Source organism: Homo sapiens, chromosome 8, assembly GCF_000001405.40.
Source record: "Homo sapiens chromosome 8, GRCh38.p14 Primary Assembly".
NCBI lineage: Eukaryota > Metazoa > Chordata > Mammalia > Primates > Hominidae > Homo > Homo sapiens.
In genome coordinates, this window is record NC_000008.11 from 100,291,375 (window position 1) to 100,305,061 (window position 13,687).

The 13,687-nt window shown below is 37.1% G+C and overlaps 1 protein-coding gene across 17 annotated transcripts in view; it reads right to left on the minus strand.

Moving 5' to 3' along the window:
- RNF19A (ring finger protein 19A, RBR E3 ubiquitin protein ligase) overlaps positions 1 to 13,687 on the minus strand; it is a 79,138-nt gene that overhangs the window by 34,308 nt on the left and 31,143 nt on the right. For 3 of the 17 annotated variants that reach the window (XM_047421671.1, XM_047421666.1, XM_047421672.1), the window contains one exon: positions 11,786 to 11,991. The exons of 7 other annotated variants lie outside the window; for them this stretch is intronic. The gene's annotated coding sequence lies outside the window, so the exon portion shown is untranslated. Of the gene's footprint in view, positions 1 to 9,153; positions 10,820 to 11,785; positions 12,028 to 13,687 lie in introns of those variants that run through there. 7 more of the 17 variants (XM_047421673.1, XM_047421668.1, XM_047421669.1 and 4 more) reach the window with 5 other exon arrangements.

The window sequence follows — 13,687 nt, forward strand, 5'->3', positions numbered from 1 at the left end:
ATTACTCTGTGATCCTTAAGCCATACGGCCTTACTACATCCAGTTTTTTAACTGTGGAAAGACAAGAACCTTTTACCTTCAGAAGTGCTTCAGGATTCGTAAAACATGTTAAGTATCCTGACACTACAACTTCAAGAATTATACATTTATAATATCCCACCAATAAACATCTAACCATAAACACTTCAGCAGCATCTAATAGCCACCTATCTGCCTAAATGATTTACACATCATTAGAAAGGTATTCTGGAAATGAAGAAGGCAGGGCAAAAAGTTTGCATACACAGAAAACACTTACTTCCCAAGAGGAAAACCTACTACATGGTCAAATAACAGTTTTTGCTTCTGTTATTCAGCTAAAATTAGGTTTCTTCTGTCACTTCTCAAACAGCTTAAAATATGGAGAAAATCCAGTAATTTTGTGCTGATGGTCAAAATACTAAATGTAAGAGCAGTGTACCTATGTCTTCTAATTTTAATTTGTTTTTTAGATGTCTGACATCCAGATGTATGGTACTTCTAAAATAAGCATGCAATAAAAACAGCATGTGACAATATTTACTAGCACTGTTGAACAGAAAGAGGACTAAGTCTTTTTTTTTTTTTTTTTTTTTTCAAGTAAAGATGGAATAGGTACAGATAATTCCCAGCAGAGTTTCTACTGATCACTAACTTGGTCACTACAGAAGCTTAAAGCTATTCTATACTCAAGTGAAACTGTCAATAAAGAAGACAAATAAAAAATACTATGTTAAATGCTGTATTCTGTATTACAAAAGAATAACAAGCTATTAAACTTCAGCACATGCTTATGTTGAGAAGATAATAAAGAATAAAAAAAACAAATTTAACTTTAATGGCTATGTATTTGCATGTGAGATTGGGAATCCACGAGGAACATTTGCTTTGATAGCAAAGATATTTTTAGTATTGTCTCACTACAAGTCATTTACATTTCACTTTCTGTGCACTAGGCACATGTTTATATCCTGCTGCAGCACTTTTCCTTACTGATGTGTAAGACATAGTTCTATTTAATAAAGAGGCTTGCTATCATATGGGTGTGTGTGTGTGTGTGTGTGTGTGTGTGTGTGTACGTATAAATTGTATTTGACTATATGGCAATTTTCCAATGTAGAAATTTCAAAAGTTTTTAACGTGCTCAAATTCACATATCTTTCTGACTTTTGACTTCTACACCAGCCTTAGAAAGCCTTGCCCACTCTAAGATTATATTTTTAAAATCCCTTCACATGTTTTCTACTGGTAATTTGATAGTTTATGAATAAGTAGAGATCAAAATTTGTTTTCTAAATGGCTAGCCAGTTACCTCAACACCAGTTACTGAATAATGATCTTTCCTCCATGCCCCACCCCCTACATACATACTGATTTAATTTTTTAATTTCTTATTTTTGAGACATTTATTTATTTATTTATAAATTATTCCATTGCTCTATAAGCTTACCAAGTCTTCTTTTGGAGGATGAAACCTAATTGTTACATATTTACTTTCTGGTACTTTTCAATCTTTCTTGTGCAGCGGTGCCCAAACTTTTTGGTACCAGGACCAATTTCATAGAAGACAATTTTTCCACAGATGGAGGTGGGGGGTGGGAGCAAGGATGGTTTCATCAGGCATTATATTCTCATATGGAGTGTGCCATCTAGATCCCTCGAGTGCAGTTCGCAATACTCCTATGAGAAATCATTGTTGCCACTGATCTGACAGGAGGTGGAGCTCAGGCAATAATGCTCACGGCTGCTCGCCTCCTGCTGCGTGGCCCAGTTCCTAACAGGCCACACACTGTGGCCCAAGGGTTGGGGAGCCCTGTTCTTGTGGATCCACTTTTCATCTGGTGTCATGTATCTTCAGCCTCAAGAACTTCCATTAGCATTTTTTGATATGCAGGTCTCCTAGCAATGAATTCTTTCAACTTTTATCTGGGGAAAAAAAATGTTATTTCACCTTCACGTTTTATGGATATTTTTGCTGAATACAGAACTCCAGGTTGATATCTTTATCCTTTCAGGACTTAAAATAGGTTATTACACTGTCTTCTGGCCTCCATCGTTTCTGACAAGTCATCTTTCCTGATATTTTAATTCCCCTGTACATAATGTGTCTTTTTTTCCTTTGCTTGCATTCAACATTGTTTTCTATCTTGGATGTTCAGCAGTTTGATAAAGATGTGCCTAGATGTGGTTTTCCTTGTCTCTATCCTGCTTGGGGTTCACTGAACTTCTTGAATTTGAAGTTGATTTAAACCAAATACAGGAATTCGGGGAAAATTATTTCTTTAAGTATTTTTTACCACACTGTCTCTCTCTCTCTTCCCACTCCTGGAATTCTAATTATTTGTATGTCAGTTTGATTTTTGTCCCAGGGGCAACTGAGGCACTGTTCTTTTTTGTAATCTTTTTTTCTTCGTTCAGTAGACTGGCAAATTTCTATTGATTTATCTTCAATTTAATCAACTTTTTCTTCTGCCATCTCCAATCTGCTGTTAAATCCATCCAGTGAAATTTTCATTTTAGATATTGTACTTTTCAGTTCTATAACATCTATTGTTCTTTTTCATAGTTTCCATTTCTCTGATGAGACTACCCACATGTTCGGTCATTATGATATTTCCCCCTTTAAGTCCTTAAAAACTGCAGTTGCTATAAAGTCTGTCTGCTAATTCTGCTAATTGCAGAGTCTGCTACCTATTTTTGAGGGAGTCTTGACATGGAATGAAGCATATTTTCCTGCTTTTTTACATGCCTTGTAACTGCTTATTATAAACTGGATATTGTGGATATCTTATAGAGGCTCTGTAGTCTCTTGTCTTCTCCTGAAGAGTGAGGACTTTTATTATACTGGGCAATTAAGTCACTGGCTAGTCAACTTGAACTTCTGAAAGCTTGGTTTTATGCTCTTTTAGAGTAGATCTGTGGAAAGCACCCATGTTTACCAATCCCTTCTATCTTGCTGGGAATCAAACACCAAATTCTGTCACCCCTGCAGAAGCCATTAGCTAAAATCTCTATTTAGATTTTTCTGCCTGCCAGCTGTTGTTTTCCACTGAACTCCTTGGAATCTCCCAAGCACAGTTCTAGGGGACATCTAGATATCTGAAGGGAGTTTACCCACAGATTTTTGGAAGTTACTTACCATAACTCCCTCCTTTCTGCGATTTATCCTATTTCTGGCCACTTAACTTCCATCCCCTGATACTTCAAGCCAGTAAGACTCTTGATTTTCTGCTTGACTTTCAGCTGCCCTACACTACATAGACTTTTCTTTAGGGGGAAAGATGTATAAATTTTTTAAGGAAAACATCTTGCAGTTTTCCAAAGGATATCTTCATCTAGGCTTTGAGATACAGTATTCTTGAATCTGTACAGGATGCTGTCACAGGAAATTTTAGCCTACTTATGCATCCACGATCTCCACAATATAACTGCTTACTAGACTGCTTTTTTAAAACGATCCTTTAAAAGATTTTCTTGCATTATTCAATACCTGGAACTGTAAGGTCTTCAACGAATGACTAAATGTGTTAAACTTTTTGCCTTACTTGCTCCAAGTAACCTGTATAAGTATTAATTCATTTATTCTTTCAACAAATATGTTCAGTGCCTATCATGTGCCAGATACTCTTGTAAGTGCTGGATAGTGAACAAAATAGACAAGGTCCCTATTCTGTGGAACTTTCATTCCAGTACATTTAAGCATTGAACAGATACTTCAGATGATATCTTCTCCAAAGAGTAACATGAATGACTTTGCAAGGATCTAAATTTTAATAAGTAACTCCCTCTTTTCTAAGCATAATTTTAAAGAAAAAAATTGATTTTTATTTGGACATACATATATGGTAGTCCCATAACTGAAACTAGTATTTATCAAAATCCATTTTAAAGCTTTCTTCCTAGTAGACTTTAGATACTTTTGACAGCACTCTATTTTTCGTAGTTACAATGGTTTTCTAATACCCAAACATTTTGGTAGACAATTTAAGTTGCACAAAAGAAATCACTATTTATCTAACCAAATTATCTAGTATACAGAATATTCATTTTGCTCACTGGGCATAACTTTAGGAACCAATATTAGCAGATAAAAGGTGGGGAAATCCTCAACCCTAGACTCACTATTTTGGATCTGCTCAGCCTCTGGTGCTACATAAACGTTCCTAAGGCAATGAAAAAAGGGAAATATCTGTCTTTGTGCAGCATTTACTATATGTAGTGTTGCAAACACCATCTCATCAAATTTAAATATGGCTATGTACAATTTAATGTAGTAGCTGACTACCAAAAAATAGATAATTATCATAAGCCATCCTTTGATCAGACTATAACTTAAAGTGATCTACTAGAAATGATGTATTTCTACCCAAGCTAATTTTGGCCCAAAGTAAACAGAGTTTTTATAAATCTGAATCATATCATTAAGAGAAGTTTGAGGCATTAAACTAGATTATCATATATCACTTTCTCTTAACAGAGAGAAATCACTGAAGTTCATTATAATAAAGTTTGCTATTACTAAAAAATCACATTTAAATGTTATTTTTAAGTTATGCCATTCATGATCTATGCTTACTTATAAGACTTGCTTATGAACCTCAAATTTAGAAATGTCATTATTTTCCTCTAATAAATTGATTCCCCAACATAACTACCAAATTCGGATACCAAGCAGCAATGCATTCTCTGGGCATTATTCTTTTTTTTCTTTTTTTCCTTTTTTTCTTTTTTGAGACGGAGTCTCAATCTGTTGCTAGGCTAGAGTGCAGTGGCATAATCTCAGCTCACTGCAACCTCTGCCTCCTGAGTTCAAGCGATTCTTGTGCCTCAGCCTCCCTAGTAGCTGTGACTACAGGCACGTGCCACCATGCCTGGCTAATTTTTGTATTTTTAGTAGAGACGGGGTTTCACCATGTTGGCCAGGCTGGTCTTGAACTCCTGGCCTCAAGTGATTTTCCTGCCTCTGCCTCCCCAAGTGCTGGGATTACAGGCGTAAGCCACCACGACCAGCCTCCGGGCATTATTCTTACTGCCCAGGTAATAGTATTTATTAAACATCTCTTTCTACAGCCTAGTAAAGTAAAAATATAACAAGCACATTTTTAGAAAAAAATAAAAATGCTTAAAATAACAGCTAATGCATGGACTGGCTTCAGAGAAATCCATGAAATCTCAAAAGTGTATGTTAATTTGTGAATATATATATATTCTAGGCACAGGATAGATCCACAGCTTTCAACACATTCTCCAAGGAGTCTAAAGTACAATGAAAGGTTAACTGTTAATGCTGAGATGTCAGATTTAACTTGCCAGTAAAAGTTAACAGTTTCTGTAAATCATTCCTACTCTCGCTATTTACATTATTAGTACAGCATTCACAGCTGTACCAATTATAACCTCAGTTAGAAAATAATTCTATTCCATTAGAAGTATTCCAGTTGAAGGTGCAACTCTTTCCACAAGAGTTAAGTTTTTGGGAAGGTTAAAAAACAACTTTCATGGCTAAACAAAGTCTCCGATTCATCACACAAGAATAAACATTATGTGGATAGATGGCCGGCCCACAGTAACCCATCACATGTATTGAAAACAAAAATCATACAAACAAAGGTTAATCAATATTGTATATTCAAAAGACAGGTGACCATAAATATGTCCATAAAGATATTATAATGCTATTGTGTCATCTTTACTTAAAATGGCAATTACCACTGAAAAAATTTTAAAGTTGATTATTCCTTATGAGGTAAGTCAATTAATAATCTATTTAAAGTCTATTAATAACAGACATGAAGAGATGAAGACATTTAATGCCCAATGTGAAAGAAAGCAATGTTACTAGATGTACAATCTAAATACCTTTCAATTACTTCAATGTGTCCTTAGACGCGTGAGCACATAATACGCAGATCTAAGGTAACCTAGGTTCTATGATCTCTACCAAGTAGTTTTATGCCTTTTGTTCAGAAAGGACCTCTCTGTATCATCTGTAAAATGGGGAAAATACTATTGTGGCAGAGATGCTGTTACATGCTCATCTGCTTCATTTTCCTTCTGAGCACAAAGCAGGACTACATTTTCCCATTCCACTTATGGCTAAGTGTGGCCACATTATTAGTCCTGGCCAATGCAATCTGACTATAATAATGTATGCCCTTTCAAGGACTGACCTCTAAATCATCCCTGAAAAAAACCTTCAAGCTCTCTTTCTCTTCACACAATGACTGGCTGAATGGAGTAATTCTAGTGAGGCAGAACTTAGAGGACAGAGGAGTCACAAGATGGAAAGAATCTGGATACCTGAGTACTACACATGGTTCTTTGTGTGAGTGAGAAATAAATTGTTATTGTGTTCCACCATGAGATTTTGGGTTTTCTGTTACAGATACAATTATCTATCTTACTCACCTTAAAGCTGGAAAATATAATAAGATGAGGTAACAAAATTTAGCTTAGCTTGGGGGGAAAGGTTTTTTAAATGCTATATAAATATGGGGTAGTGATAGAGTATATTTTGTTGAGTGAGTAAAGCATGCACTTTGGAGTCAGGATATCTTGAGTTCAAGTTCAGCCTCTGAAACTTACATTAACTATGTGACATTGGGTTAAATTACTAAGACTCAGTTTCTTCAATTATAAAATGTGAATTACAGTACCTACAGTCCATAGATTATAAAGATTAAATAAAATAACACATCAAGAATTCAGTGAAGGGTATGGTACATATAATCACTTAAGTATTACCTGTAAGTATACTCATCTGAGAAGATAGCACAAATGTACCTAAATTTACCATGTATTGGGTTAAAAAAAAAAAAAACACTTATTACACATTAGGTTAGAAATAAAAACAAATGCTTGGCTCTGAAATGGCTTCCCTAATGAACAGGCACTTGGAAGTTTGGAATACATTATTAAAGTACACGAATTTCTCAAAGGTAAATTATATAAATAATGTACAGCTAGTACAAACCTACCTCAAGTGGTCTAATATTAAAAATGGAATGAATATTTTTAATTCAACTACTTATAAATGAGGGAGATGGGGATAATTCAACATATCATTAGTGTAGGTGAGTATCAGTTTCCAACAAGTTCTTTAGAAAGTAAATGCTTACCAAGACCCAGATATACTCTCTTGGGTTCTAGCCTTAAGATAGTTTCTATAATCTCTCAGAAACAGAAACTCAAAGTTCAGAATAAGCTATTCCCATAAGCCACAAAGCCTCCCAAAAGAGGTATTTCTTAAACAGCTTCACAAACACGCACCTGCCACATCTACCTGTTTAAGTCCATATTTGATTGGGAGAAGAACAAAATGGTGCTTTGTGGTTTTAATAATACTCATTACAAGTAATATTCACTACTCAAGTTATTACAAAAAGTAAGCTGCTGCAGAAAGGAATAAAGCATTACTCATTCAATTTCTCCAATAAAAAACATTTTGGTTAGCTTATTCCAGGCCCTCTTCGACAAGAAGCACAAACAATACACCATTAGGAAAACCACAGGGAAAGCAGAGCGCAAAATGCCAGGTATGATCAAGTGCCCAGAGACATGTAAGTTTTTAAATAGGTTTAAAAAAGATACCTAGCTGTCAAAAATTTCCTTCAACTGGTTAAAACACACATTGCTGAAGAGAGACTAATTTGAATGCTGCATATCCAAAGGAAAACAGACACATTTTGCTTACTGTGTCCCTTGGTTCTCAACAGAAGGGAAACACTAACCTAGTATTAGATCTTAACCAAGTTTACCTATGTTTTTGAATTTTAATTTCCATATTCGAAAACTAAGGTGATTAAGACCAGATGATGTCTAGGGTCCCTTAGTTCCAAAAGACTATGATAATAATATACAAATATATAGGCAGTTTTAATATACAGAATACTCTAGGTTAAGTAGATGATTACAATTTTCTAGGATAAACAAATAATTGTTGTTTCTGTTCTTTACAAAATGTCTCCAAATTCTCCCAAGTATTAGTATACTCTTCTTAGTAAATTCAGTGTCAAAGTGAATTTTACCAAGTCTCATGATTAATGTGATTCTACTATTTGGACAATTAGAAGTATTAAGTGTTTGGACCGGGTGCGGTGGCTCACGCCTGTAATCCCGGCGCTTTGGGAGACCAAGGTGGGCAGATCACCTGAGGTCAGTAGTTCAAGACCAGCCTGGCCAACATGGTGAAACACTGTCTCTACTAGAAATACAAAATTAGCTGGGTGTGGTGGCACATGCCTTTAATCCCAGCTACTCGGGAAGCTGAGGCAGAAGAATTGCTTGAACCCAGGAGGTGGAGGTTGAGTAAGCCAAGATTGTGCCATTGCACTCCAGCCCGGGTGACAAGAGCAAAACTCTGTCTCAAAATAAAAAAAAGAAAAAAAAAAGTATTAAGTGTTTGGACTAATCTTATCCTAACCACTTTCTCTGGAAATCCCTCAACTCCATACAAATTATTGATAACAGTAGCATCCCACCTCTCCAATTTTGGAAGCTCATTTGTCTCTTTCTCCTAAAGGACACCATGAGTAAGGGGGAGGGAAGACCTCTGGTTAGCTAAATCATTGTGTGTGCATGTAATTGAATGATATATGTACATAGGAGATAAGAGTGCAATCTGTAAGAGGTGTTTGGTAGAGATCCTAGAACTTAGTTTTAAAATTTTCTTCAAACTATAAGGTAATTCTCAGATGGAATAATATCTCTTGGGAACCAAGAGGCACAATAAGCAAAATGTGTCTGTTTCCCTTTGGGTATGTAGTATTCAAATTAGCTTCTCTTTACACAAGTCTCCCGAAAATGAGATTAAAAACTCACGTACAAAGGAAATATTATTAACTGTATAAGGAAAGAAAAGGGAGTATTTTCTAAAGACAGAAAAATCTAGGTAATAATTACACAGCAGGTAAACAATCATAAAGGTTTATCTCTGTTACGGTTTTCTTACTGAGAATTCAAAAGCAACAAAATCAGCTGGGCATGGTATGGTGGCTCATGCTTGCAATCCCAGCGCTTTGGGAGGACAAGGCAGGCAGATTACTCGAAATTAGGAGTTCAAGAGCAGCCTGGGCATCAAGGTGAAACCCATCTCTACAAAAACTACACAAATTAGCTGGGTGTGGTGGTGCACACCTGTAGTCCTAGCTACTTGGAAGGCTGAGGTGGCAGGGTTGCTTGAGCCCAGGAATTCCAGGCTGCAGTGAGCTATGATCACACCACTGTATTCCACCCTGGGTGACACAGTGAGGCCCTGTCTCTGAAAAAAATGAAATAGAAAAAAATTAAAAAATAAAAAAACAAAAGCAACATAATCAGTTTAACTACAATTCTAAAACAGACTATTAAATTAGATGTATCAGATATTTAACTAGTCAACTCCTGGGAGACAGTAATCCAAAGACTAATTTGAAAAAGCAGCCATCAAAAAACAGAGTGAGTCTTTTAAGTAAGTCAAGAAGATACAAAGAGTGAAAAGGCTACAAATTCTGGACCTATTTCACACAGACAAAAAAACTAGTCATGTAAAGGTCCCTGTGCTCATGTACTTACTTGCTCTTCTCAAGAGGCTGCACCAACTTTATGTGGCTGTGAAACCTATCCTTCTAGTGACTCTAGCATTCTAATCTAACCTATTTTTGTAAGTGAGAAAACTGAATTTAGAGCTAGTAGGTTCGATGTATCACCACTAGTCCCATGAGGCTATTTAAATTAAAATTAAATTTTAGTTCCTCAGTTGTGCTAGTCACATTTCAAATGCTCTACAACCATAGGTTGCTATTGGCTACCATATTGGACTGAACAGGTCTAGAACATTTCCTTCACCACAGAAAGTTCTATTGCACAGCACTGGTCTAGAGATGTGACTTACCCACACAGCTAACGTGGCAGAGCTAAAGGCTCAGCATTCTTTCTACTATCTTACTGCCTAGACTAGGCCTTCATTAATCACCTGGTATCCAAATTACCACATTATCCTCTTTGTTAAAGTCTGCTTACAAATTTCCACTGGTTTCCCCGAGATGAAGAATAAATTTCAAGTTTCCTGTGGCATTAAAAGCCCTCCACAGTGCAACCTCAGTTTCTCACTGTTCTACATAAAAACCCCACACTTTAGCCAACTGACCTATTTGTTAAATATCTTAACAAAACATATATAGTTTCAACTCTATGAATTTTCCTACGCCTTTGTCTCTGCCTGGAGTATTCTTTTCCATCTTCACTGCTAGTCCTACTCCTCTTTCAAGGCCCAACTCCTATCTTATCTCCACAATCATTCTAGGTCAGTAACTATAAATAAGCATTACTAAAAGTTACTCCATGCTCTTATATACAAGTTTACAATTTTCTAAATATCGTCTAAATATTTTAATATTATTCTTTACTAGAAGGTGGGGAAAAAAGTTAGGCAGAGCAAAGGAGATCAGTGTATGTGTGGTGTTGATTACTATTTTAAACAGGGTGATCACAGTCTCATTGAAAGGGTGGCATTTAGCAGAGACCTGAAGGAGGTAAAGGAGGTGTTAGCTATGTGGAAATCTGGGGAAAGAGCATCCAAGGCACAGAACAGCCACTGCAAAGCCCCTAAGGGAGGAATGTGTCTGGTATGCTCAAGGAATAGCCAGGAGGCCCTAATATGGCTGAAAATTAATGAGCAAGGCAAAGACTATCTGAGATACATGAGAATGCCAGGTTGTGTGGGGTTAAGGCCACTGTAAGTACTTTGGCTTTTATTCTAAGTGAGACAGGGAAACTTGGGTTTCTAAAGTGACAGAGATAGTTTAAAATCTAAGTTTAAAAGGATCATTCAAGTGTTGTGAACAGATGGGGAGGTATTAAGGATGGTAGCACAGAGAACAGTTTAAAGACTACTGAAGTAATCTATGAGAAAGATGACGATGGCACATCAGTGAAGGTGTTGAGGACATGTTTTGAAGGTAAAACTGTAAGGATTTCCTGATGGATTACAAGAGGATTTGGCCTGATTAATCAGAAGGCTGAAACTGCTATCAACTGAAATGGGGAAGGCTATGAAACACAAGTTTTAAGAGTGAGCCAAGACCAGAAGTTCATTTTTAGACATTTATACTTGAGATATCTCTTATACCTAGGTGGAGATGTATATCCAAACACCCGTTTGACAAGCCCAGAGATTAGGAAAAAAGTAAAGCCTAGAGATGTAAATTTTGGAGTTGCTGTTATTTGGATGGTATGTAAAATCGTGAACACAGATGAAATCACCAAAAAGTAAATATTAAAGAGTAGGGAATGAGGTCTGTAGCATCCCAACATTAAGATGTAGGGGAGAAGAGGCGAATCCAGTAAAGGAGACAGAAAAGGTGGAAGGGGGATCATGGAGGAATTACACTTTAAAGAAGACAAAACCTGTTGGTCTATCCTACTAGTGTTTTACTCATTCCCCTCCCCCATGTCAACTACATCTTAAAAAGTATACAAAGAGCAAAGAAGGAGCAAGTTAGGAGAAGAAAGAAACGATACAAGCAAAATAACAAAATGTATCTTATAAGATATAATCGATTCCTGTTGAGACTGGAGGGTATTAAAACACTTCCTCTGATATTTCTCAGAATTAGAATTCTAACGAAAGAGCTGTTTAGTCTCTGATCATCATAGCACATGATATAAAACAACGATAATTAGAGATTTTTGGTTTACTGAAGACTTTTGACTGCATAGTAGTTTCCTGGGGCTGCTGTAACAAACTACCACAAACTGGTTGGCTTAAGACAATGGACATTTCTCTTACAGTTCTGGAGGCCAGAAGTCCAAAATCCAGCTGGGCCGTGCTCCCACTGGGGCTTGAGGGGAGAATGTGTCCTTTGACTCTTCCAGCTTCTGGTGACTATAAGCATTCCTCGGCTTGCGGTTACATCACTCCAATCTCCGCCTCCATGAGCACACTGCTTCCTCCTTTTCTGCGCGTCGTCTTCTCTGTAATGGGTCTACTTGTCCCTTACAAAGACACTTGTCACTTGATTTTGAGGCTACCTGGATAATCCAGGATGATCTTATCTCAAGATTCTTAACTTAATTACATCTGCAAAACCCCTTTTTCCAAATAACATTTGCAGATTCTGGGGATTAGGACATGAACATATCTTTTGTGGGGTTACCATGCAACACACTAAAATATGGTTCTGGAAATTTTTGCTAAGGACATCAGTAAGGTATGCTAAATTATGCAAAAATCTAAAGGATATTTAACGTTTGTGCATAATTTTAAAAATGGGCCAGGTGCAGTGGCTCACGCCTGTAATCCCAGCACTTTGGAAGGCTGACGTGGGCGGATCACTTGAGTCCAGGAGTTCGAAATCAGCCTGGCCAACATGGCAAAACCTCGCCGCTTGTAAAAAAAAAAAAAAAAAAAAAAAATGATTAGCTGGGTGTGGTGGCAGGTGCCTGTAATCCCAGCTACTGGCAGGCTGAGGAATGAGAATCGTTTCAGCCTGGGAGGCGGAGGGTGCAGTAAGCCAAGATTGCGTCACTGCACTCCAGCCTGGGTGACAGAGTGAAACTCTGTCTCCAAAAAAAAGTTTTTATTTATTTATTTATTTTTATTTTTGAGACACAGATTTGCTTGTCACCCTGCCTGGAGTGCAATGTCGCAATCTCGGCTCACTATAACCTCCACCTCTCAGGTTGGAGCAATTCTCCTGCCTCAGCCTCCCAAGTAGCTGGAACTGCAGGTGCCCACCACCATACCTAGGTAAATTTTTTTTTGTATTTTTAGTAGAGACAGGGTTTCACCATGTTGGCCAGGCTGGTCTCGAACTCCTAACCTCAGGTGATTTGCCCACCTTGGCCTCCCAAAGTGCTGGAATTACAAGCATGAGTCACCATGCCTGACAAAAGTTGGTTTTATATTAAAGGGTATGGCTATAAGGAGAAATCTATTTGATATGGCTATGTATACAACCAGAAGTCACAACTGCCTACCAGGTAACCACTGCCACCCTTGCTTTGGATAAAAGAATTACAGTCATTGTACTATATACATCATATACCCTAAGATAACAGGCTTTTCTAAATGGTTACTTTATTTTCCCCACTTACGCACTCACACTACTTACCAGTTCCCACCCCCACTTACGCACTCACATTACTTACCAGTTCCCACCTCCACTTTCCAAATGACCTTATTTCATGATTTTATTTAAGGATGCCTATATAAAAAGTCCCATTTATTCCATACAAAAACTGAAAAACAGATTTGTTCAGGCAATATTAAATAGATGAGAGGTTTAAAATCTGGTGCTCAAACCAACCTAGTCGCCTCTCCTGATTCTATTTAAGAGCATCTTGTATTGATTTATTGTTACTGATTCCAATGTGGGAGGTAACAGTACATTCTATATGCACCAGTCTCATGGGAACTTCTATCCTGTTTTTTACACTGAGCCTTGCTCTGACTAGTTACTAATAATTAGAGGATCTCTTTTATAACAGTCTTGTCTGAGTAGCCCAGAGTGTTTCAAAGGCATAATTAACTTATACTAATCCAATGAAAAAGATGATGAATATCCTTCCTTATTTTATTTTAGAGATGGTGTCTTGCTCTGTTGCTCAGGCTGGAGTACAGTGGCACAATCTCAGCTCACTGCAACCTCTACCTCCCAAGTTCAAGCAATTCTCCTGCCTCAGCCTCCCT